General features: G+C 55.3%; 1 protein-coding gene across 11 annotated transcripts in view, besides 9 other annotated features; it reads right to left on the bottom strand.

The window, feature by feature from the left end:
* ZMIZ1 (zinc finger MIZ-type containing 1) overlaps window positions 1-24,543 on the bottom strand; it is a 247,554-nt gene that overhangs the window by 126,559 nt on the left and 96,452 nt on the right. The window lies entirely within an intron of this gene.
* Window positions 1,369-1,903: an enhancer, noted in NCBI's record as "H3K27ac-H3K4me1 hESC enhancer chr10:80947815-80948349 (GRCh37/hg19 assembly coordinates)". NCBI's record gives its function as "activates a minimal SCP1, AML or CMV promoter by ChIP-STARR-seq in naive H9 embryonic stem cells {active_cell/tissue: H9 hESC(naive)}" and the evidence as "EXISTENCE:reporter gene assay evidence [ECO:0000049][PMID:30033119]".
* Window positions 1,904-2,439: an enhancer, noted in NCBI's record as "H3K27ac-H3K4me1 hESC enhancer chr10:80947279-80947814 (GRCh37/hg19 assembly coordinates)". NCBI's record gives its function as "activates a minimal SCP1, AML or CMV promoter by ChIP-STARR-seq in naive H9 embryonic stem cells {active_cell/tissue: H9 hESC(naive)}" and the evidence as "EXISTENCE:reporter gene assay evidence [ECO:0000049][PMID:30033119]".
* Window positions 4,137-4,896: an enhancer, noted in NCBI's record as "H3K27ac-H3K4me1 hESC enhancer chr10:80944822-80945581 (GRCh37/hg19 assembly coordinates)". NCBI's record gives its function as "activates a minimal SCP1, AML or CMV promoter by ChIP-STARR-seq in primed H9 embryonic stem cells {active_cell/tissue: H9 hESC(primed)}" and the evidence as "EXISTENCE:reporter gene assay evidence [ECO:0000049][PMID:30033119]".
* Window positions 5,096-6,295: an enhancer, noted in NCBI's record as "BRD4-independent group 4 enhancer chr10:80943423-80944622 (GRCh37/hg19 assembly coordinates)". NCBI's record gives its function as "activates an origin of replication core promoter dependent on BRD2, P300/CBP, MED14 and CDK7 cofactors, and independent of BRD4, by STARR-seq in HCT116 cells {active_cell/tissue: HCT116}" and the evidence as "EXISTENCE:reporter gene assay evidence [ECO:0000049][PMID:35650434]".
* Window positions 7,821-8,437: an enhancer, noted in NCBI's record as "H3K27ac-H3K4me1 hESC enhancer chr10:80941281-80941897 (GRCh37/hg19 assembly coordinates)". NCBI's record gives its function as "activates a minimal SCP1, AML or CMV promoter by ChIP-STARR-seq in naive H9 embryonic stem cells {active_cell/tissue: H9 hESC(naive)}" and the evidence as "EXISTENCE:reporter gene assay evidence [ECO:0000049][PMID:30033119]".
* Window positions 10,015-10,309: a silencer, noted in NCBI's record as "tiled region #270; HepG2 Repressive non-DNase unmatched - State 17:Gen3', and K562 Repressive non-DNase unmatched - State 5:Enh". NCBI's record gives its function as "represses a minimal TATA promoter and a strong SV40 promoter by Sharpr-MPRA in HepG2 and K562 cells {active_cell/tissue: HepG2 | K562}" and the evidence as "EXISTENCE:reporter gene assay evidence [ECO:0000049][PMID:27701403]".
* Window positions 10,905-11,521: an enhancer, noted in NCBI's record as "H3K4me1 hESC enhancer chr10:80938197-80938813 (GRCh37/hg19 assembly coordinates)". NCBI's record gives its function as "activates a minimal SCP1, AML or CMV promoter by ChIP-STARR-seq in naive H9 embryonic stem cells {active_cell/tissue: H9 hESC(naive)}" and the evidence as "EXISTENCE:reporter gene assay evidence [ECO:0000049][PMID:30033119]".
* Window positions 11,522-12,138: an enhancer, noted in NCBI's record as "H3K4me1 hESC enhancer chr10:80937580-80938196 (GRCh37/hg19 assembly coordinates)". NCBI's record gives its function as "activates a minimal SCP1, AML or CMV promoter by ChIP-STARR-seq in primed H9 embryonic stem cells {active_cell/tissue: H9 hESC(primed)}" and the evidence as "EXISTENCE:reporter gene assay evidence [ECO:0000049][PMID:30033119]".
* Window positions 18,144-18,933: an enhancer, noted in NCBI's record as "H3K27ac-H3K4me1 hESC enhancer chr10:80930785-80931574 (GRCh37/hg19 assembly coordinates)". NCBI's record gives its function as "activates a minimal SCP1, AML or CMV promoter by ChIP-STARR-seq in naive H9 embryonic stem cells {active_cell/tissue: H9 hESC(naive)}" and the evidence as "EXISTENCE:reporter gene assay evidence [ECO:0000049][PMID:30033119]".

Here is a 24,543-nt window from a genome sequence, read left to right as displayed (position 1 = left end):
TGGGTCTAGCCCGATCTTCATTTAGTGGAGTCTCTGGGTGTGAGGCTACTCAGGGGACTGAGCCACCTCGGCCCAAGAGCAGAGGGCCCTCATTCCTGAAACCCTCCAAGCACACGCTGGACACCCCACAGGCAATCCGAAAACACGCTTCCTGGCTGCCTGCTGAAAACCAACAGAGACAAAAATCACGCTAGGTGCTCCAAAGCTGCCTGGTGACTTGAAAGTCTAATGTGCACAGCACTCTACAGTTTACAAAGCACTTTGGTGTTATAACCTCACGAGTTGACCCATGTTTCACCCCATCTTAGATGGGCAGTATAGCTTAGTGGTTAAGGGCACCAGGCTGCCTGGGCTTGCATCCTGGCTCTGACACTTGCTGGCTTCTGTGCCCTGGGGCACAATGCTAGCCTCAGTATGCCTCAGGTCCCTCATCTATAAATAATAACAACAGTAACCATAATTGTACAACTTCATAGGCTGCTGTGCTGATTCACTGGGTTAGTGACTAGGAAACTTAGCCTCGCCCTGAGCAGGTGAACATTCACTCTCTAGAGTGCCCTGGTGGGTCTTATCGGCTCCATCAGAGGCAGAAGGAAGCTGGAGCCAGAGACTTGGGTGCCTGCGTGACAGAGTTAAACACCACCACTCTACAGGCCCTCTGGGAACCATACCATGAGCTCAACAGGGCGCCTCAGAAGTCCTGGGTGGTTGCAGCTGAGAGGGAGGCAGGGGTCCCATGCCATTGGCCAGAATGCCAGGTTGAGGAGCTGGAGGGACTCTGTTTTAGTGGCAAAGGACAGTCACAAATGTTCCAGAGGGAAGGATGGATTAGGGAAGGAGCTTTCGGACAAGTGAGCTCCTCCAGCAGTGGCCTCGATGCCCAGATGAAGTCTGCCTGGGCACCATCTCTAATAAAGACAGGAGATCAGAGAAAAGCCACACTGTGCTCTGGTGACTGGGACACCCCAGATGGCTCTGCCCAGATCTGTTTCTTGGAAACCAGGTCCCAGGAGGTGCTCCTGAGCGAAGCATTCCCGGTTAGATGAGTTGGGGAAAGCTGCATCTTCTGTCCTCCTCTGGGAGATCATGAAAGCACGCTTGCATGGGAAGGGCCTTACAAAATCTGGCTTTTCTCAGTGTTACTGGATGGCAAAAATGCTTTTTTCACTAAACACATTTTAAAATCCCACAGAACTAGTTTTCCCCAGGACTTGCTTTGAGAAATGCCGACCTAAAGGGAGTGGCCCAAGGGTGGAGAGGCTGGAGGAGAGACACAGAAGAGGCAAGGAGGGCCAGCTGGCTGGGTAAAAGACTGGGGGAGGGGATACTAGGGGGGTGGGGGACAGGAGGAAGATTCCTAGCTCCAAGCTGGGCTCTGGCCACAAAGGCGTGACCAGAAACAAAGACGTCTGTGCGAAGAGAAGCCACAGAAAGATCGGAATCCTGGATTCTGAATCCAGTATCATGTCCAGCTTCATGAAAGCCATGGCCACCTTGGATATACCCAACCAGCCACGAGCCTGCCTGAAGGCGCCCTGGGCTCCCTCCCCCAGCAAGACTGGCTCGGGGGCGGGAAGAGCGGCCCAGAACACTTCCTGGAAGGGCAAAGGCCAGAGTAGGAAGGTCACATGAGCTGCCTGAGGCGGAGATGACCCTCCCCTGTCCCATCCAAGCAATGACTGCAGCCAGAGGCACAGAAGCCAGGGTGTGTGCAGGCCCAGGTGGCCCAGGCAGCAGGCAGGATTCTCTACCTGAGGCCCTAGAGGTGGGTGGCCCTCCTGCAGTCACACTGACATCTCCATTCATAATTCTGAATAGTAACAAGAACAATAGGCGTGTCCTTCATTATGTACTACGTCAGGCAGCATATTTGGTATTTTATGTGAATTATCTTTATAACAATATAGCCGAAGGTAGAATGAATGAGTGGCACCATCTACAGATGGGAAAACTAAGGCTGAAAATAACTAAGGAACTTGCCCAAGATCAGAAGATGGCAAAGCTGAGATCCAAACCCAGATCTATCAGACTTCAAAGCCCAGTAACTATACACAAAACCAAGCTATCTCCACACTATTCTGGGGCTGGGGAACAGGGAAGCTGAGTGGCAGACTGCGCGGGTTCCGGCTGCCCAGAGGGAGGCCCTTGGGTTCATTCATTCTCCAGGCGCTGCCCTGGGTCAGCTCTGCACCGCCTGTGCTCAGCCTGGGAGGGACACAGGACACAAGGTGTGTCCTCAGGAGGATCCTGGCCTGGGGGTCCCAAGCATGCCAGCATGCATACTGCACTGTGGACACATGGCTCACCTCTCTGTGCCCATTTCCTCAGCCCCAGAAGGAAGGGGCTGATCAAGATGTCACTCATTTCTCCCTGTACCCCAAACCTCTGAGGATGGCTGGGGTGCTGAGCTTTCCGGGAGCCCACTCGCTGCACCAGGCCCCTTTGCATACATCATCCCATCGAATTCTCACTCCAGCCCAGCAAAGTGGGCACCACAGCTCAGACTTCACAGAAGAGGAACCTGAGGCCCAGAGAGGTTACACAACTCGCCCAAGGTCACACAGCTGGGCAGTGAGGTTGCTGGGACCGGAACTTGGCTTTAGCTCATTTCAAAGGTTCCAGCCTAATCACGCAGCTATACTGGCAGTGTCCGCCGGGCTAGAGCCAGGCATGGGAGAGGGAATTTCTGCTTGGCCCAGGCCATATTGTGGTGTGACTACAGCGCTCAGACCCTGGACTCCATGGCCTTGATGAAGTGGGGACGGGGTGAGATGATTCCTAAGGCATCTTCTAGCTTTAACACTCTTGCAGGAGGCTGGGGAAGAAAGGATTAAACAAAAAGAGTAAGATGACATCACTGATTTCCAGAAGCCTAAAATCCAGGTGAAGGCAGACAAACAGTACCAACCTACCTGCTGGGAGTGCCTACCAGAGGGCTAGACTGCAGAGGCCAGGCTGGGGATCACCCCACAGGCTTCCTGGAGGAGGAGAGGTGGAGCCAGGTGCCAAGGGCCAAGGGGGCATGGCCTCCAGCAGGGGCAGTGTGGCTGGGCAGATGGTTAAGAGAGTGGGCAGGGAAAGCCCGTCTTATTTTGGAAATAAAACCACATGCTCAGTGCCCCTTTGACCAGTCAGCCTGGCGGGTGGCACGGGGTCCTTCTTAAGGGAGAAGGTATTGAAATGAAGCAGGACTCTCACCATTCATCTGCTTTTTAATTAACTCACTCTGCTGCCTTAAGTGATTCCCTGCTCACGCTCATTCTTTTGAAAATTCCAAAGTGCTACTTCTGACCTGTGATTTACTATTGCTGTACGTCTCTATAAGCAGTGTTTTAGCTTAAGTGGCAGTTGCATATTAATTACAAAGTTAATTATGTGCTGTGTAATCATGCTGTAATTCATTAGTTTATACTCTGAGAGCCTCATGCTAATAGCAAGATCTGACAGGATTTCGGGAATCAACAAGAAAGACCCGCTGGAAATCCCAAATGGGGCTAAAAAACACTGGAGGCCCCACCAAGCCCCTTCCTGCCCAGGGCTTCTAGCAGGCACACAGCCTGGGACACGCCAGTCTGTGGGGGCCGGTGAAAAACCCCGGTGGGTCATGTTTTTCTCCTGTGGAAGTGCAAGGACAGGAAGAGAATTTGTTTAAAATTACTTACGGAACAGAGAGTCACTTCGAGGTAAAAAATTAACTGCTTAGATCACCCAAAGTGACCCTGAGAGCACAGACCATGGGACAGACCAGGGGAGGGCTTGGACAGGATCCAGGGCCAGGCAGTTGTTCAGATGGGAAGACCCAGGCCCAAAGGGCGTGGGTGGTGGGTGTGTGTCTGGTATTTGGACCCAAGTCTCTTCACACCCTTTCCCTCCTCTACAGTGCCCTCAAAAACATCCAGGGACCTGAAAGTGAACACTGGCCACATTTCTCTCTTCCTTCTTTCCTGTTTGGTTTTGTCTCCTAACAGTAACTCTTGGGGTCATCGGGCCTGGCTGGGACTCCTCGCTACTCCTTAGACAGCCTCGAAACCTCCTGAACCAGGTGAGAGTTCCAGCCTCCCTGTACAGGGAGCAGATGATGGACAGGAATGGACACAGACACTCCAGATGCTGCCCAAACCTTGACTGCTCCAGGGTTATTCCAGGGGGATTCTTTTCTAAAACCATCTCTTCCAAGGTCCAGTGTTGTCAGCAACTGAAGATTCATCCACAATCCTCCAATGGCATTTAAAAGTCAAAGTGAGTAAAGACAGGCCTGCTCCAAAAACCCTCCCTTCACTCTCAACTCTGCAAATCTGTGGATCAAATTTCAAGCCACTGTTGAGGGAGGAGAAGATACAAAGGCTGTGACCTACCCCGGACATAGCGATCTGGTGGCTGAGACCCTCTGCTTTCCAAATATAAACCTGCTTGTTTTATTTCTGCTGACAGCTGAACAAGGAAAAAAAAAAAGATGTAGAAGTCCTTTCCCTTCTGGCTCCAGTCAACAATTGGAGAGAAGGACTTGGAGCCCCAGCTGGCATGGGAGGAGGATAAATAAGAAAAAACAAAACATGTCCTTGTGCTACAGTGGAATGTTTTAAAAAGAGGTGAAAAGCACAAGGTCAGGGGCAGATTGCATTTTCTATCGTTTCAGCAGGCTCAGGGAGAAGGCAGGATGCTGCCGACTCAACAATTTTGGGGCGAATCCGTTTTGGAGGGAACTCATTTCGGGGGGAGGGGGGCGTCTTAACAGCTAAAGTGCTGTGGTTTCCTTTCCTGGGAACACACCGGTTTCCCTGGCAACAGAGAAGTCCAGCCTCCAAAGTTCTGATGGGAGACCAAGGCTTGGCCTGGGATGCTCCCGACAATTATCCACAGCCAAGGCTTCACCGTCCTGCTCGCCTGGGCAGTGAGGTGGGTAGGAGAGGTGCAAAAATGTTGGCTCTGCAAAAATATGGGCTCTGGTCCCCGTCTCTCCTGCCTGCACTTGTGCAAGCAGCTACTCATCCCTAGATTCATCACTTTGCAGGGCTTTATGGCTGAGCAGGTAAAAATCCAGGAACTGCTTGGAAGCAAGCCTTCATCTGACAGCAGCTGAGGACCCTGAGGAGGCAGTAAAGACTCGGGGACGGGCAGCAATGGATCAGCAAAGGCCAGGCTTCATGCAGAGCACACTTTGGCCCTTGTGCGGCTGGCACAGGGGAACTGGATCAGAAGAGCAGGCTGGGATTTCTAAACTCATCTCTCCCTCCATTCACACTCGCTCACACGGCTCCATTGGCATCTCCTAGACATAGAGCCCATCTTCCCAGAGAGAAAGATTGAAAGGTCTGGCCTGGAAAGACACAGTCCATGGATCAGGTGTGGGAAGGCAGAGAGAGGTGAGTGAGGATCAGAGGGAGGAGAGGAGGCAGAGAGGGGGCGGGTGATTGCATTTGCAGGGCACTTATCCGGGCGCCTCTGGGAGCTGTGCTAAGTGCTCCACACACATTATCTCATTTAATTAGTTCTCCAGCTGCCAGGTGGGGCAGGCACAATTATCCCTCAATAGAGGGAATTGAGGGGTTAAGTGACCTGCCCAAGGCCACGCAGTAAGTGCATGGCAGAGCCATGAGTCACACCTGCCAGTCTCCAAGGCCTATTCTCACGCTCACAGCTCACAATGCTGTGTGTGCACATCGGGAGAGGGGTGGAAGGAGAGGCAGGGGCAGGGAGAGCCACTCTGGCCAGCGCTTTCTGTCCCTGATGGTGGAAGGAAGACAGAGGTTCCTGGAATCCTCCCCTCTGCTCACCTCCCCAGAACCTCCCCTTTTCTTCTAAACATTCTGCACACTGTCCTCCCACAGGAAGACAGGCCACGGAGCAGAGCCACCTGGAGGCTCTGAACCAGAGGCCCTGTCCAGTATCCCACCTCAAGGCACCGAGGCAACGCTGGCCGACGTTTCCTGAGGGTCTGATATTGCACCCTTCATCTCCTTTAAACAACCCTATGAAGTAGACAGGAATAGTCCCTTTTATTGAGAAGGCACTGGAGGCTAAGAGAGTGTCATGAGTATGTCCAAGTTCACAGAGCTAATAAGGGGCACAGCTGGGATTCCAGCCCTGGTCTGACCCCAAAACCCAGCCCTTAACTGGTGATGATGATGATGATAGGATAACAGCCGTGCCTTCCTGAACTCACTATGTCCTCTGCCCTGCTTGAAGCACTCTGCAAATATTGATTTGTTTTATTCTTTCAACCATCCCACATAGTACACGATATAATTAGCTCCTTTGCACAGATGGGAAAACTGAGACACAGCATTGAAAGCAACACAGCCAAGGGCATTGCTAGTAACTCACAGTGCCAATGTTTGAACCCAACCAGGCAGACTTCAGAGCTCACGCTCGTAACCCATGTAACACACTCTTTCTCCAACCATGGGGATACCGTCTCCCAGCCTTGCATCCTTCATTCTGGATGGTTCTGGGACCCTGTTAGGGCAGGCAGCAGTTTAGGGGCCCAAGTTTTTCCCTTCATAGAGCTCATCAACCTAGAGAACTGGGGAATATCAAGCAGGACCTGGACTGTGTCTCTGCACACATGGGTGTGTGCGTGTGTGTGTGTGTGTGTGTGTGTGCGCGTGCACGAGCCTCAGGCCTGTGCTGCGTCCCGGGTGTGCATGCAGCTGATTTATAACCCTCCAAGAAAACAGAATTGCAAATCTCACCCACAAATCTTCCTTATCGAGGTACTTGCGACAGGCAGACACGTCGTGAATTCCCAAGAACAGGCAGGCCTCCCCACCAGCCTTGGCTCCCTTGTGCTCCCTGCACCATGGGGCCTGAAAGGGGCCAAGGGTTAGCTCTGACAGGTCCCTCTGGCTGCCAGCAGTCTGGCCAGTCCACTCCTGGGATTGGGTGCCAACCTAGGTTGACTTGGTACTGCTTATCAGAAATGCTGGCTCCTTAGTGACCCAGTCCAGGGAGAGCCTCATCAAGTACAGTTCCAGGACCCTCCTGGCTGACTCACCATACTAACTGCCCTACTCCAGCCCTCACTGCTCAGATGGTGAAGGGCAGGGCCTTGAAACACCTACAGACCCGAGGAGGAGGAAAACAGTGTACATCTAATGGATACGTACCATGCACACACCACGGACAGCACTAAGTGTTCAAGATTTATTTCATTTAATCGCCATGGAGACCCTGGAGACAAGGCCCAGAGAAGTCAAGTGACTGGGCTCGGCCTCGGAAGGCAGGCAGTCTGATTCTAGAGGCTGTGCTCGGAACCACTCCGCTGTGTTTTCTTCAACCCTGGGCCTCTTCAAATCCTCAAGCCTCTTAGGGCTCTCAGGCCCTGTCCCTGGCATACATACGCTTACCCACTTTCCCCCAGAGGGGTTTGGATCCACTGGGGTCACCTTGCTGGTATTTAATCCCATCCCAGTATTCATAGTTGTGGACCCCTGGGAGACATTCCTAGCTCCTGCACACCCAGAACCAATGCTGCTGCACTCTGAGTCCAGCTGACACTCTCCCCCCAAACCCAGCCCATACCTCACCCACAGAGCTCTCTCGAGAAGCAGGCCCTCTCGGGGGTCTGCAGTCACCCAGTCGATACTCCTGGCCCCCACCTTCTCCTGGAGGTGGGCAAGAAGGAGGTGGGTGCATCAGGCAGCAGCTGGAGGCAGCCAGGCAGCCCAGACTTGGCTGTCCTCTAAACTGCTGTGTGACCTAGGCCAGTCCCCTGCCCTTTCTGAGTTTTGTCTTTTTCATCTGAAAAATGAGCTTGGGCGGATTAAATTGCATGAGCAGGACATAGCCCTTGCCCCTCGGGAGAGGTGCGTCCATGCATGCACACACGCATGTGCACATACACACACACAGTTCTGGTAATGTCAGGTGACTGAATTCCCCATCCCAGCCCAAACAGAACCAGGGACCAGCCCATCCTTCCTGTGAGGTGTCTCTTGTCTCTCTCCAGCTTGGCACTGGGTGAGTCCTGGCTCCTCCTCCTCCTCCAGTTCAGACTCCTGCAGCCCCAAACCTGTAATCCCCAGCAGGGAAAATGACAGCCTTGTCCAGCAGCCGCCCTCAGCTGCCGGTGGGGAGCCGGGCGGTGGCTGTGGTGGTGGTGGCTGGGAGGCGGGCCGGGACATGCAGCCGCCAAGTCAGGGGAGGTCAATGACGGGGACAAATGCCATGGGGACTGTGGGTTGTGGGTAGAGGAAGGATGAGAGAGAAGAGCAGGGAGGGATGGGCTCAAGGTCCCAGGGCTGGCCTGAGGCTGGCCTGAGGCAGGATGAGGCCCAGAGGGGGTCACAAAGGGGTGTGACCTGGACAGCCAGGGCCTAGAGGACAGCAAGGTGAGCACTGCCCACGGTTTGGGGTTTGGGGAGCTATAAGCACAATGATGCCTGGGCTTCACCCCGGCTCCCTGGGAGGGCCTAGGAACCTTGAGAAAGTGCCTCTGGGGTCTGGTTGCAGCCGGTGGGCAGGTGGCTGCTCAAGCCCCTGGGATGCCTCCGCCCCAAGGAGGTGCTGGGGTTGCTCCTGCCTCTGCTGTCTCCCCCTCAGAATCCACCGCCACTTGGCAGGAGGACAAGGCTACAAACGGCACCAGTGACACCACAACTGCATCTGCCCAGCCGCTCACCTCCAGCCTCCTCAGAAGCAGGCAGCCCGTTTGTAGGCAGGGCCACAGGACTGTCCCCATTTACTAAGGCTTGGAGAAGAGAATGGTGACCTGAGTCAGCCCCTGAGCCTCCTCCCAGGCCCCTTCCCACTGGGAAGGGCCATCAGGAGGCTGAAACCCGGGTGCTCCCTGCTCCTGCCCAAGCCTGCTCTAGCAGGGAGACTCAGGACGCAGGGCCACACTGACTCTTGGTCCGTCTCAGTGGGAACCCACAGCTCTGCCTCCTGGGAAAGGAACATCCCACACACGGCCACACTGTCCTGACTCCCTCGTGGCCTTGGATGAGTCACTTCCCTTCACTCAGCCTCTGTTTCCCCATCAGAAAAAAGCAGTGGGAGGAGGCTGGATTTGGGGAGGCACAGGCCATGGCGGGAGGGCATTCTAGCTGGAGCAGAAGCTGGGGGTGGGAGAGCAGCTGGAAACGTGTGCAGGTGTGCTGGCCCCGAAGACCGGGCTTGAGCTGGGACTGGAGTCAAAGTTGCAAATGGAGTTGCGGTCAGCACTGGGCTTCTCTGCATGGCCCTGTCTGAAAGGAAAGTCTCTTGTGGGCACTTTATCCCCCCTGAGCAGAGGCCCCTGTGGGCTGCCCCATTGTCTGGGTCACATGGAGAGACTGGCTGAGGCTGCCTGCTCAGAGGAAGGTGGTGGTGTTTGCTTGGGGCCACTCCAGAGGGGCAGCTCAGGCTCCCACGCCTCTGGGGGACTCGGAGGAGGAAGGGGTGCAGCCCACTTCCTTTGGGCCAGACTGTGCAAAGGGGCGGCAGGGCCTACTGGGGGATGTCGCCCTCAGATGCAAGCCCTGGGGTGACAGCCCATGGGACAGAGGAGGCAGGTGGCACTTAGGCCCTGGAAAAAGGAGGGTTCATTTTGGTATCAGGGAAGCTAGCTCTGACAGGGGTCAGGGTCATGGGATGGCCCAGGCTACTGGGCCAGGACCCTCTGTGGTCACCCCCACAGCCAACATCACTCATAGTGTCCTAGTAGACACTGGGGGACCCAGCCTCTTTAAGGAGGGTGATGCTGGGGGACAGGGCCACTAGCATGGCCCTGGTCACGGGTGTGCTTGGGTGTGCACAGCCTGGCACCTCGGGGCATTTCCTCACTTCATGCCTCTCGAGAGGCCCCCTGAGGGCTGTCCCTGATCAGGAGCAGGCCATGCCCCCTCCTGGCTCCCTTCCATCCCCTCTTCCCTTGTTCTCTCCACCTGTCTCCTTCATCTTCATGGTGCTGTGGGGGCCCGTCTCCACCCTCGGCACCCTGCAGGAAGGGGACAGGTGGATAGGAGACAGAACGAGTGGATGAGGGGCAGGTCAGTGGAAGACAGGCCCAGCCTGCCCCGTTGGCCCCAGGATGCTGATCTGACACTGGCCTCTGAGAGAGGGTGGTGGCATGCGTGGCGGTTGTCCCTGTGGCCTGCCTGCCTGGAGTGCCTGCTCACCCACTGCCTGGTCCCCACCTGCCTCGGCCTTGCCAGCCCCTCCTCTGCCCCCTTGTGGGCCTGAGATGGCTGTTGCCATGGCAACCCTGCTCATTCAATCCAGGGATAATGAAGCCAATGTGTTTTTCATTTCCATGAGCTAGAGTGTGGAGCAGGGCAGAGAGAGGGGCTTTCCCCTCTTGGCCCCTCCTTCCCAGGGAAGAAGCAGACTGCAGGGAGACGGTGCGTGGGGCCTGACCAGCAGACTGAAGCACACCAGTGGGAAGAGGCTGAGACCTGCAGCCACTCAGCTCTCTCTCAGCTCACCACAGTGGGCATGTGGCTGGGCAGTGCCAGCTAGATGGCAGGCCTCTTTGCCAACACTCAGCCTGGAAGAGGCGTGGTGCCCCAGAGACTGAGTGCGGGTGCAGAGCCAGGCAAAATGGGGTTCTGTTTCTGGCTGTGTGACCTCATACTAGTTACCTCACCTCTCTTACTCTAGTAGAACTGAGTTCACCAGGCACTAACTAGGTCCCATCTGAGTGGCTGGCCTTCTGCAGTCCCTAGGGATCCAGACAGAACCCAGACAGAGCCCCTGTTCTCTAGGAGTCCACAGGTGAGTGGGAGAAGGAATTCATATCAGGCACCCTTCTCAGCTATAAAACTGAGGCCAGTAACTTTTACCTGTTGCTACCAGTAACATTAACTCTTGGAGTTACCCTTGGAGGGCTGGCACATACAGTAAGTGTTTTATGTGCTAGCATCCCTCTTCTTCTCCATCCTGGGTTCCTGGCCTGCAGCACAGAGATAGCAGATGTTTAAGAAATGTTCATGTGTGAGTCAGCAGTCACAGCTGCCCGACTCCTCTCCTTCCTCCAGGGTCTGGACTGAGATGGGCCCACTCCTCTGGAGGTGGAACCTGGGCCAGAGCAGAGCAGCGCTGAGCCAGGCGGGGGCAGGGCTTCATGCGGCCCTGGCTTGGGAGAGCAGGGCTGTCTGGGAGATCCACGGCCCATGGTTGCCACCACACACCTCCCCCAGCCCCTCTCCAAGGGCAGGAAGCCAAAAGCACTCACGCAGAAAACCCTGGCCTGTCTCCCCCACAATAATTCAATCACCTTGGAGACCAGTGGCCCTCTCTCCGGCTGGGCTGACAGATTAGAGCAGGAGGGAAGGAAGCATGCGGGGGTGGGGGAGGGGTGGGGCAGGGATGCCGCTGTGGAGAACTCAGAGCAGGGCTTGAAAAGTGAAGACATGAACCCACCAGGAGGAGATAGCCTTAATCTGTCTTCCATAAAGCTGTCTCAGGGCCACCAAGGATGTCACCAGGGCAGAAGGGGCTGAAGATGGCTCCTCCTGGGACCTCCTTCACCCCCGCCCAGCTGGGCTCCAGCTCCAACTGGTGAGGGGTCAGGGAGGAGGAGAGCTGGATGGGCTTGCAGGTTAAAAGGGGCAGGAACATAGGAGGGGTGATGGTGGAGAGAATGGCGCCTCTGGTAGGCGTCACTCACCAACACACAGTAGGCACTCTGTTCACGACCAACTGAGTAAGGGACTGCGTGGCCACACCTGCAGGTTGTCAGTAAGCAGTGCCTTGGTAGCAGGCTGAAGGGCGGCCATGAGCACTCGAATGGGGCCCATTTGCCCAGTTCACAGATGGGGAGACAGGACAGGTGGGCCAGAGTCACACAGTTAATCAGAGCCACTGGAAGACTTTCTAGCATGAGGGTCCCGGCCAAGCTGCCCTCACCATGAATTATGCTGCAGGGTGGGGGGCATCTCCCCAGAGTCCCCAGCAGCACCCCATCACACCCAGCCCAAGCCAGCAGCAAGCTGCTTGTGATGAGGATACTGCCCTGGCCCCTCCTAAGACCCCACCATGTGGCCATTAAGGATCATGTCTAATAGGAGCACTGAATGACTCTGAAGCCTCCTCGTGACTTAGTCCAAAAGAGAAGAAAAGAAAATTATAAGGTGACCAGAAAGAAACATACTAGAATGATGACCAGGATGACCTCTGGGTGGGAGGACTACAGGGCAGTTTTATTTTTCTTCCTTCACTTTTCTGACTTCCAGACTTTCTGCAGCAAGCATGCATATACTTTACAATAAGGAAAAAAAGGACATTATTAAAGTTTAAAATAAGTCACTTCCACTAAATGTGTGAGATTCTCCATTTACAGGCCAAAGTCAAGCTCATGTTGGGTTAGGCAGCATCTGTGCTTAGGCACCCAGGGCCACACACAAGAGCCTCCTCAGGGACTGCAGGCCCTGTGAGGACATCCCGGGGCAGGAGGCAGGGTCCGGGTCTGCCTTCCCTTGGTGGTGTGTGTTTCGGCAAGTCCTATGCCTCTCTGTGCTCTGCTGATCTCCCCCGGCCCTTCTCACCTCGCAGGGTGGATACGAGGACTAACGGGTCTGGGTGTGCTTGAACTAAACCTGTAAGCCTTTGTCAACTGGGGGCACAGGGCGGCTTCTCCAGTTAGAGGGGTGCTGTCTGGGGCAGAGGGGCAGCTGAGGTGCCTCCAAAGACAGGGCCGAGGAGCCTGGCCTGAACAGCTCCAGGAGGCGAGGCCAGCTTTCATCCCCTGTTTACAGTGGAAACACAGACTTGAAAAGGCTTCACTTTTCCACTGTTTTTGTGGCGGTGCTGTGGGGAGCAGGGCTTCCTGAGAGCGAGGCCAGCTTTCCAAGGCCACACTGAGTCCAGCCCCAACAGGAAACATCATGTTTTCAATTTACAGGTCCCTGCCAGGCGCTGTGAGCAGGCCCACGCTTCACTGGCCCGGCTGTCTGGGGAGAGCAAGCCCAGGCCCTGCTGCAGCTGGGAACCGAGACAGGCCGGGTGGGGTCCCAGGACCCAGGGGGCCTCTTGTGGGATCCCTGAGGGGCCTCATTCCCAGTGCATGGCACAGTTTACACGGTTTTGTCAGCAGCAGATGCACTGGAGACACATTGCCACAAACTCCAATCCCTGGCCTCCTGGAGCTCACATCAGCCAGTCCTACCTTCTTACTGGGTAGATGGGGAAACTGAGGCCCACAGAGAAAAGAGACTTCCCAATGCCATCAGATTATTAGTGAAGAAAGACTGACCTCAACCCAGACTGGCAAATTCCCAACGGGGTTGATGGGCAAAGGGGGACGATGACAGTGATGGCAGCTCACCTCCACTGCACACCTCTCCCAGTCTAGATCCTGCAACCTCCAAAAGCCTTGCTATCAAGCAGGTCCTTGCCAGCCCCTCCTATCCCCAGGTGCTTCTGGGAAATTCTCGGTAAACTGAGCAATGCTTGCAAGAGGGGTGTTCATTCAGCCAGTGTGCACCGAATGTTATGCCAATGGGCTGTGCCTTGGCACCAGGAGGATGGAGGGCTGACTCCCTACCTCCCTGAGCCTCAGGATTCCAGCAGTATGATTGGGAGGGTGACTGGGTTGGACTGTCAGGAAGACCTCGGAGCTCTAAGATCTATGCCTCTCTCCTCCCCTGCCAGACTGTCAGCTCCATGACGCAGACACCCAGTCTCTTGCTCAGAGGCATCCCAAATACTCAGAAGAGCGCTGGTCCATCATAGGTACTAAGTAAACATCTGCTAAATGACTAAGTGGTGGTGGCTGGAGGGGGCTCCACTCACACGGTGGGTTTGGAGAAGCCTGGGAGCTCTCCCCGCTAGCCATATATTAATGACATTTCGAGAGGCAGTTGAAATGGCCCTGGAATGTCATCCTGGCCCGTTGGGCCTCCGGAACACGTGCGGTCTGTGTGGCTGCCCCATCCCCTCCCTCCATTGTGTCCTCCAGCCCCAGCCCAGGATGCACAGTGCCCTCCCTGTGCCCTGGTTTCTCACTTTCTGGGACTCCCTGAGCTCCAGCATTAGACAAAGGGCACATTTTCAGGGAAAATAATCCCTTGTTTGTTTGTTTTATTCACAAACTCTCCCCTCTCTGCCTTTTCCCATCCAGGACATTCCTGCTTTCAAACAGGAGCCACTCTCCAGGCTGGATGATGGCCAGGCTCACACCGGCTCCCAGGAGTCCTGTGGGCTAAGCCCGGAGGGTTTGCTGCAGCCAGGAATGCCGGGGCTGCCTGCAAGGAGTGGGCTCCACACTGTGGCTGCAGGTTGCCTTCCTGCTGGCTGGCCCATGGGGAGTGGGGAGGAACCTGAGCCCAGCCCAAGGATGGGCAGAGATGAGTGGTGTGAAGGGTGTGGTGGCCAGGGGGAGGGACACATACATGCGGGTCTGTAAAAACCTCCACACACACACACACACACACACACACACACACACACACACACACACGCAGAGTGCACAGATTAGAGAAGTCCTCAGAGGCAAGCAAGCACCAAGGTGGAGCCCAGCCCAACCCAGCGATAGAGAGGAGGCCTCCTGCAGGAAGGGTGCCCTCTGGGGTGGTACAACCCAGCTGATCGGGGCAGGACAAACCCAAGTGAGAGACACGATGCCAGACAGACAAAAATGGGTGAGCAAGGAGCACTGGGAAATACAGGCATGATCACGAGAGGAGGCCCACACACAGAAGGAGGCAGAGCCAGAGCCAGAGGCAGACGGGCAGCTGTGGCTGCTAAGAAGCGTGAGGGCAGTGGGACAGAAACAGGTGGGCAGAGGACACCTCGGGGCAGCTGCCCCACCCTGGGCAGACTGCTCGGGGTTTCTTTTGGGTCATGAATTAGCGTAAGGCTTGCTGCCACCAGTGGTCTCCCTCCCTATCTGGGTGCTATGATACCAATGTCTAAGACAGGCCACTGAGTCCCCACTGGCTCCTTGCGAGGACCCCCTTGCTCTGTACCTGTGAAGCCTGGTGAGGTGACCTGGAAGGTACACATTGGCTCTTCTCTTTCCTAGCTGGCTCCAACCCTCAGCCTCAGCTCACGCTCAGAGAGAGGCCTGGGAGGAAGGTCAAAGACACACAATGGAAGGAGGAAAGCCCCCATGGAGGGCAGGTGTCACCTGGGGATGCTGCGCCCTCCTCTGCAATGGCCTGGGCTTCTTCGGGCAAAGCCCCTTATGTCCTCAGTTTCTCCCATCCAAAGGGGGTGGGACTGTTGGACCCTCGGATCCCCCAGCCTCTGGCATCCAGAGTTTTACACTGAGCCTGCATCTTGTGTGTGTCACGTGTTTTCTGTGCACTCCTCCCCCAAACTCAGCCACATTTCTGAATTAACACTTTGAGCTCTTCTATGCCCCACACCAACTGGGCTTGGATTTTAAAGACCAGACTTGCAAAAGGACATCTCAGCTACAAAGGGGATTCCCAACATGAGCATCCCTTCCCTGCCAGCACCCAGGGGAGCAGAGCCACTCTCCTGACAGTGTTTGGTCTCTGTCCTCTGACATGCTAGGTTTCTATGAAAACTCAGTGAGAAATGGCACACAGTCATTCTACAGATCAAAACCCTCACCGGCTCCCCACTGCCCATCAAATGGAGGTGCAATCTACTGGCAGGGCCTCACCACCTGCCACTTCTCCTACTCATCCCTTTGGAGCCGACAACTGGGAGTCCAGGGATTGGCGTGCCTTTGTCTTCACTAACTCTCTTCTGTCCAGTTGGTCACGGCCCTTCCCTGCCCCTCCCAGTGGGAGCTGTGTGTCCCCGGTGTCCCCGACGCTGACCCCACCCTGGCTGAGAGAACTGTCCTGGGTGATGCTGAGAAGGGCTCCAAGCTGCAATCTAATATGGGCAGGCCTGCCCCAAAGCTGGTGGGTGCAACCTGTGCTGGCCGCTTCAGCAATCCCAGTGGGATCTGAGGAATGCACCCACGATGCACCTCACCCTCCAAGCACCCAGCAAGTGGGCCCCATGAAGCAATCTGAGGATGAGCAAGAGCCCTTGGGAGGTCAGGGAACCTGAAGTTTACAGACCAGCTCCATCGGAAACAAATTCTGACATGCCCTCCAAGAAGCTTCCCTGATCTTTCTGGTTGGCAGGGGTCTCGGTCCCTTGGGGTGGATGCTCTGTGCCAGGGTCTGGCTGAGGGTTCAGGCTTGAAAGTTAGATGGAGCCGCGTTCAAATTCTAATCCTACCTCCCAGTGGCTGTGTGATCACGAGCATATTACCTAGCGTCTCTGTTCTTCAGTTTACTCATACTTGAAACAGATTTCTATGAAGATTAAATTAGATAATACATATAAAATGACTGGGGTAAGTGCTAATTAACACAGCTACCATTAAGATTCCCCCAACACATAACACACACTCTACAGGATAACATAGTGATTAACAGCAAAGATTTGGTCTTAAATCCTGGCTGGGTAGTCTTAGGCAGGTCCCTTGCTCTCTGTCTGTTGATCAAGGTATATTCTCAAAATTCTTCCTCATTACACTCCTGGAGAAGCCACCCCGCCCCCTGCTCCCCGCCCCACTGTCCACTGTCCTCTGTGGCCTAAGGGGCTTCCTAGCAACAGGGACACTAGGCTGCCCTTGGACCCTTTGGTCCTAATCTGCTCTCAGAGCCTCTAGGCCAGGGACATCCAATCTTTTGGCTTCCCTGGGCCACATTGGAAGAATTGTCTTGGGTCACACATAAAATACACTCACAACAGCTGATGAGCTAAAAAAAAGAAAAAAGTTCGCAAAAAAATCTCATCATGTTTTAAGAAAGTTTACGAATTTATGTTGGGCCACATTCAAAGTCGTCCTGAGCCACGTGTGGCCCATGGGTCACGGGTTGGACAAGCTTGCCCTAGGCCAGTGCCACCTCCCAGGAGTTCCTCAGCCCAGAGCCCTCCCTGATACAGCCAAGCAGGCCCTGAGCAGCCCAGGCCCCAGGGTGTCCAGGGTCAGCTCATTCTTGGTGCAGAGCCAGCAGATTTGGAAAAATCATATTGTACTGAGATTAAGTGCCTTTAATTCCTGTGAATCCCCCATCTGACTCACTGCCTCCTCTCCTGGCTGGCCCCACAGTCACTACCATTTAAACACCTGTATTATCAAACTGCTGGGCACCAAAGGCTGGCAGAAAATTTACTTCCGTTACAAAGGACCAATTCAGGGGAAGGGCCCATTATCCAGACACTGGTTGTTCATCTTTCCCATGGAGCTGGGAAGGTATGAGAAGGACCTGTGTAAAGTTTGATAATGGAAAACTTAAAATGATTTTTTGGAGAGTTCGTGTCCTCCTCCTCTTTTGTGTCAAAAGATGCAACGGTGGCCCTCATGCTCCATATGACAGGAGTGAAGGTTGGATGGGATGCTCCTTAGGTTGAGTGAGAGGCCAACCAAAGGCCAGTCTGGAATTTAGGGTCAAAGGACCCAAGTTCCTATCCAGTTCTGCACCTGGAGACTTTGTCTATTTTCCTAACTTCCCTCTGTCTCAGTTTCCTCATCCATAAAATGGAGATGATACTGGTCCCTACCTTATAGGGTGTCACTGGGATCAAATAAATGATGCCCTGGCTGCTGACACTGTTGTCATTATTACTATTATCATAACCATGACCATCTAAGGGCTTTGTAGCTGGCCTGTCCTCTGCTCTTCAGTGACAGACATGCCACAGGTGCTCATTTTCCTCCTGTCCTAGAAGCTCTAGGGAGGGTGGGTCTGTCTAGGGCATACACCAAACACTGGGTACAAATGTGCCCCAGGGAGGCTCCCAGCTGGGCCCTAGGCGTCCTCACCCGCCATGTTCCTGCTTGGTCAGGTGTCACAGTGTGCCCTTAGGAGGGTGACGTGTGGCTCTGAAGGATGCCCCCAGCAGGCACCCACTACTCTGGGTTCCAGTGAATGAGGCTGAGCTGCTGTGAGCCCTGCCCCTGCCCCAGAGGCCTCGCACCCTATCTCCTCATCCCTGCTGCTTCCTGACCTGAGCTCTCGGTTGCTCTGTGGATACTTGAGTGTATGTGATGTACCCTTCATTTGGTCAGCATTTATTGAGTGCCTACTACATTTAAAAAGCAGTGCTCTGTGCTGGTCATTCACTTCATAGGGATATGGCCTACGATGTACCAGGTCTGAGCCTGTGGCTGCCTCAATAGCATGGCTCCGTCCTTGCTGGGCCTTCCTGTCGCAGGACAGGGCCAGGTGTGTGCCCAGTGATGCTCTGGTACAAGCACTATCACCTGCCCCAGCCCTAGCCCCACCTGAAATTCTTGAAATGCTCTGAGTGTCAATCCATTACAGTCATCCTCCTCCAGGAAGCCTTCCATAGGCCCTCACTCCCCAAGGACTCCTCCTCTTTTGATCTCAACACATCCCTTGCCCCGTGGACACGGTGCATCACAAATTTTCTTCCTGCATGTGACCTACAGTGGCCTAGACTGTGAGCTCCCCTGTGGCTGGCACAGGTCTGTTTCTTTGTCTCCTGAAGAGCCGAGCACAGACCCACACAAATAGTAGGTGCTTACTAAATACTGCTGCCTTACTGAGTACAGATAGAGAGAGCAGTGGAGAGGGGCTGACTTGCGCAGAGGCCTGAAGGTGGGTGCTGTACCAGGCACCACATGTGAACTAAGGACCCAGTGGGACTCCCAGCCCAGGAAGGAGACAAAGCTCTGGCCCCCGGCATCCTCTGAGCGACAGCCCAGGCCAGTCCCTAAGTTCTAGGCCCTGGCCTCATCCCCGGTGGAGTGAAGGCCCGGCAGTGAAGAATTCCTTCTCTGGCATTAGCCCAGACCCAGCTGCCTCAAACGAGATCTCATCAGGACAGGGCCAGCTTTTTCACCTCTGCTTATTAACTCCCCTGAGCAGCAGTGAGTGGAAAACGGGAGGGAGCAGGGAGTGTGAGAGCCTTTTCATTTCTGGAGCTCACCGCACTGTGCGTGGATATTTCTGGAAAGCTTCCATGGGGGCTGCCCTGGCTGGGGTGGGAGGACCCATGGGCTGGGAGGGGGTTCTTGATTTAGGCTGACAGTGCGGGTCCAAGAAGGGACCAGTGTTCAGGAGCAGGCAGCCCCTCGGACCTGTCCTGAGATGGCACTCTCTTTTCCTAGGGGCTCAGCAGCTTAAGTTGAGGGCTTAAGCCTGGCGGGGCTGCCCATCCTAGATGGACCACACAACGAGAGGCATGGTGGGCCGCATGGGTTGGCCCAGAGACCAGATTGTGAGCCACGTGGAGCTCCCAGAGCTCACATCCTCCTAGCCAGCACGTTCCACTTTGGGCCTCAGTCTCCTCATCTGTAACAAGACAGGGAGGGCTCTGCGGGGTCATTCTGCAGTTCCAATGCTGCAGGCTTTCATGTGTATTAACTATTAAGGCTCCCAGATGCCTCAGAGGAGCTGCAGGACTGCCCCCACCCACTCTGGCCTCCGCCCTACCTCCCAGTAGGTACCAGTTAGTGATCCAGCTCAGCTTACAGAAAAGATCTCAGATCTGAGTGGACTCCGCTAATGCCTGCAGAGTTAGGGCCTCCTGGAAGGCAAGGGAATGGCCAATAAATGGCATGTGACACCCAGGGAACAGCTTCTCTATCTATCCCTAGGGCTCTGAGGCTGGCAGAAGGCTGCTGAGCCAAATGCTCTGTGGCTAAAAGGAATGGGGCGGAAACCCACAGATCTGCCCCTGGTAGAGGGGACATCAGGGAATGTCTGTCTGATTGTCATGAGGTTTTAAGGGCAGAAAGATCCCTGCCAGGTCATCTAAACCCCTGGTTTATCAGTGTGAAAACTGAGCCACAGAGAGGAACTGGCTTAAGTCTCTAGGCCAGCTCCCCTTTGCAGGCACCAGTGTGTCCCAGATTGGCCAGATCACAGGTATTTTCTGGGGGCATCTGTTTAAAAATTGGAGGCCTAGGCCCAACTCCAGATCTACAGAATCAGACTCCAGGAGAGGGGCCTGGTGATCTGCATTTAAACAGGTGTCCCAGGTGGCCTGGGTGTGCTAGCATGCCTGGGAAGCACTGTGTCTCCATCTCAAAGTATCCTCCTAGAAGTTCCCACTTGAAAGCTCAAGAGAAGACCTGGGGGTCCATTGTCTCTGGAGAGGGAAGTGTCTGGGTCCAGAGCTAACAAATGCCCACCTCAAGCAGATGCTCCTGTTTGAGGGGTGGGAGGTATCTCCCCAAGGGCATCAGTCTGCTGCTAACAGAGAGGACTGGTGCTGTGTAGCTATTGCTGCATTTTATCCTGCCAGGTGGGTGCACTGCACCCCTTTACAGATGAGGAAACAGGTGAGTTGAAGATGAAAGAAACTTGTCCAGACTCACCTGGCTGATAGGTGGAAGAATAGAGATTTGAACCCAGGACTGTCTGTCCCTGAAACCCACACACTTTGACCACACGCCACACTTTATCCTCTATCACACTGAATTTACATGAGCAAAACTGTGTAGTGACTTCTCCAGCAATGGAGGTGTCTGGGCAGCAGCTGGAGGAGTCAATACCAGGGATGAGACGATCTTTATCAGCCCTTCTGGAGCTGTGGCTGTGGACAGGCTAAGCTGGCTACAGGATGCAAGGAAGTCTGTTGCATTTCTTCCATACACAGATAAAAATGCTCCAGATTATTTATAGGTTCTAGTGCATCAAAGTCCTCCTGGCTCAATCCTTGACCACGCTGGAGCTGCCGGGCAGGAGGCAACTGGGAACCCCTACCTGAGAGGGAATTGCTGGGGGCAGAGGCAACGAAGCACAGGGGGCTGGCACCCCAGGTGGTGACAAGGGCAGGGGTCAGGGGTTGTGACGGGAAGTCTGGGTGAGGCCAGGGACCAGAGAAAACTGGCAGGGGCTATTGGCAAGGGCGAGGGCCGTCTCATGCCAGCCTGTCCCACCAACCTGAGGGTGGGCCAGATGGAGGTGGCACCACGGGAGCAATTCACAGAGGTTATGAAGCAGAGATGTTCCCCTAGGCTCCAACAGAGGTCCCTAAAGATGCCTCAGGGGAGCGGTAGACGGTCCCAGAACAGCCGTGAGGCAAGATGTGCTTGCTGTTTCCCAAACTGGAGCTGAAGAAGGGTGAGAAGCACTTAATGGGGGAGGCAGATGTGAGCAAAAAGCTTCCAAAGGCTCAGCAACCATAAATTTCCTGCTCTCCGTTAACCAGTCAGCTCCCTGGGGGCTCTAGAAAGTTTTCTGGGGCCCAGCTCACCCAGCAGCCAGGGTGGACGGACACCTGTGGGGGTCACACTGAGGTCCCTGCCTCTTCTCTCCTCCTGCACTGGCCACAGCCCAGAGCTGAGACATCAGTCAAGCAGACCTGATACCCAGGGAGCAGGGCTGAGAGCGTGACCATGCGCCACACGATGCACAGCATTATTTCTCGTGGAGTCCGCACACAGCCTCCGAATCCTTCTTAATACGGCCCACAAGCACATTAACAACTGGGATGCTAGACATCACCTTGTTGCTATGCCCAGAGGAAGCTGAGGGTGCACAAGCTGGGTGCCTGTCTGTGGCTTTCAGCTGCCCTTCAACACAGAACTGGCCAGGGACTGTGCTGGGGACATGGTTCATAGCCTGCCCTGAGCTTTCAAGGAGTATACAGTCTAGTGGGGAAAGAGCAGATGGCTGGCTTGGAGGAACAGAGACAAAAAAAGGCCATGGGGTGCCTGTGTGCAGATGAAGGAGGGAATGGGCTGGGGAAAGAAAGGGGGGCTGTTGGCTCAGTACACTCAAACTCCGCAGCCCTTGCTGGTGGGAGGAGGTAGGCCCCCGGGGGAGCTCCGCTTTGGGTAGTGGCACCAGCCCTGTCTGCAGTGGACGGAGACGAGCACCTGAACCTTCCATGACTCCCTGCCACACTGCCTGAGCAGAGGCAAACAAGAGGTAGATCATAAATGGAGCATACAGCCAAGTGCAGCTGAAGGGGGCTTGCAGGTAACAAAGAGGAAAATTGGCTCCAGAGGGTAGAGGGCTCTGGAGGGGCTGTTCTGCCGCCAGCCTGACTCCTAAGAAACACCCCACTTTGGGAGAACTCTCTAGGCCAGCAGGGGCAGGGCCAGGCTCTGGGGAGTAAATCCCCTCTTCTCCCTCCTAGCCTTGGAGCCATCCCTGCCACAGGCATCCTCCACTCGCTGGAGACCTGGGCTGGTTAGGAGGACACAACCTTTGGGCACCTCTGAGATTCAGACTCTGCTGGCTGATGTGGGAGGGGCTGGAGGGCAGGGGTGACCTTTCCTGGGAGGAACAAAGGCTCTCACCCTCCTAGCTCCGTCTAGGGTGTATGCGCACTGTCAGGAAGCTGGGAGGGATGAAGGGCAGGACTGGCCAATACGTGGCCCAGCCTGTGACAGCTGCTTGGTCTGGGGCTGTTTCGGCATGAAGTACAGGGCAGCCTCAAGCACTGAAATCTACTGTGGGCGGTGTGGGGGGAATGAAATTGCTCACATCGCCTTTCCTCTATTCATTTCAGGTTCAGTTGCCTGGGTTCTAGCCATGGTCCTGCCTGCCTCGATATATCTTTAGGACAAGTGCCCTGTGCCTCGGTTCCTTATTTTGTCCTGCAGGACAGCAGTGGCCTTGCCTACAGAGACAGCCTGTGCTCTGCAAACTCACCTGCAGGATTTCCTCCCTCAGGCCTCAGTTTCTTCACCTGCAAGATGAAACAGGACTCTCCAAGCATGCGCCGTGCAATACAGCTAACAGTGGAGACTGCAATGACTGGATTTCAAAGACTTAGTATGATGAAGAATGTAAAATATCTGCCCTGTGAATCCAATACATTACCATCCCAATATGTAATCAATGAAAAATGAAAAACAGCCTGGTGGGCAGTCTGATGCACACTTTAAACGGCAAGAAGAGTGTCGAAGGAAGGCTCTGGATTTAGGAGGCCTGTCCAGGGAAGGCTACTGGGGCCTCCAGGAGGCACAGGTGTGGCCTGAGGAAGGCTTCCGAGGATGGAGCCATGAGGCAGCCCATAGAAACTCAGGCCAGAGCACAGAGTGGGAAGGTGTGATGAAGAAGAGGGGTGGGGGGCAGCACGGTGGAGCCGCAGCCCAGGGCGCTGGCAGAAGGCTAGCATGTGATGTGGCTGTGAAAGGAGGCTGGGGCCAGATGGCGGTGACTTTGAATGCCAGGCTGAGTTGGCTGGGCACGCAGCAGGCACTTCCAGGAAGACTGGCTGACCAAGGCCGGGGACCGAGGGAGCTTCCCGAGGGCGTCCAGGTGAGTGGTGGGGCCTCTGCCCCTCACAGGCCACTGAGACCCTCTGGGCCTACACCTTCCAGCTTCCTCTCCCTTCAGGAGAGGACAATTTACTTATTCATGAGCATACAAACACTCCCACCAGGCAGCCAGCTCCTGTACACCTCACTTCTAATTATAGCAGGAATTTCATTAATGCTGGAGGGAGATGCCAGGTTTCCAACCACCCCTTGTTAGTGGGCACAGGCCGCCTCTCGTTCTCCTGCTCCAGCTGGTGGCCAGCAACCCACATGCCCAGGACGGTACAGGGCAGCTGCAGGGTGGGCTAGCAGCCTGCACTCCTGAGCCAGGAGGTGGCCGGCACGGCAGGGCCATGGGAGGGGATGGCACCTTCCCCCACCACCTGGCCACACACGGAGTGCAGCCTCCAGCAGCTGGGAATGTGGGGTTGTCTCAGACCCGCCAAAGAGCAGGGTGGGAGGGAGTGGCATGTTGGCTGGAGCCAGATTTAGGCAAAGGCAGAAGGTAGGGAGGCCTCTGTTGTGCAGAGCCCTGAGGATGACAAGAAGCAGTGACACAGTGGCATGGTGCAGCCGTGCTGCTGGGAGGCCTGGTAAGGAGTGGCCCTGAGAAGGAGAGCAGAGGTGAGGAGGTGCAGGGACCCTGGGATACGCTGCAGGGACAGGGAGGCGTGTGGCGGCGGAGGCAGCCTCTGGGATGTAAGAAGACAGGAAAACTGGGCAGGAGAGAGCTGCAGGGAGAGATGAGGACAGACAGCCACGGGGAGATGGGACAGAGACACGCAGAGATGGACCCACTGCCCCACCCTGCAGGGAGAGCCCACACACACACACACACACACACACACACACACACACACACACACACACACACAGCTGAGCTGGGGCTTGGAGGCCAAGGCCAGAAGAAGTAAAGAAATGACTAGTGCCAAGTCAGGCTTGGCTGCTCACAGAGGACCCCCCTAGCAGACCAGGCCCGCCTAGGGGGAGCTGGTTGGGCCCACCCAGAGACTTCAGGCCAGAGGCTCAGGGTGTAAGTCTGTGGCAGGAGGCATGGCCGCCAAATCCATGCCCTCCCGTGACCACGGGGAGCTGTCAAGACCTCCAGCTGTGGGAGGGCAGGTCCGAACTCTCCGGCCTGAATGCTTGGGCCCCACACTGCCCCTCAGTCAGCTCCACTGTGGTCAGGGCCCCCCAGGCCAGTCTGAATGTGGAGCCAGTGTGCACCTGGAGGTCCTGACACACACGGGAGGGAGGGGTCTCCCCTTTCCTTGAATACTCATGAATATTCACACAGCCTCACGTCCTGCTGAACAATCACACCCATACACAGGCACACGCTACTACGCACACACTTACACACAAGCACACAGCCACACACCCTCCTCCCTCCCTCCCTCTGGAAG

The sequence above is a fragment of the Homo sapiens genome, chromosome 10, assembly GCF_000001405.40.
Source record: "Homo sapiens chromosome 10, GRCh38.p14 Primary Assembly".
Classification (NCBI taxonomy): Eukaryota; Metazoa; Chordata; class Mammalia; order Primates; family Hominidae; genus Homo; species Homo sapiens.
Note: the sequence above shows the minus strand (reverse complement) of the source record. Positions and strands in the feature narration are given on the sequence as shown.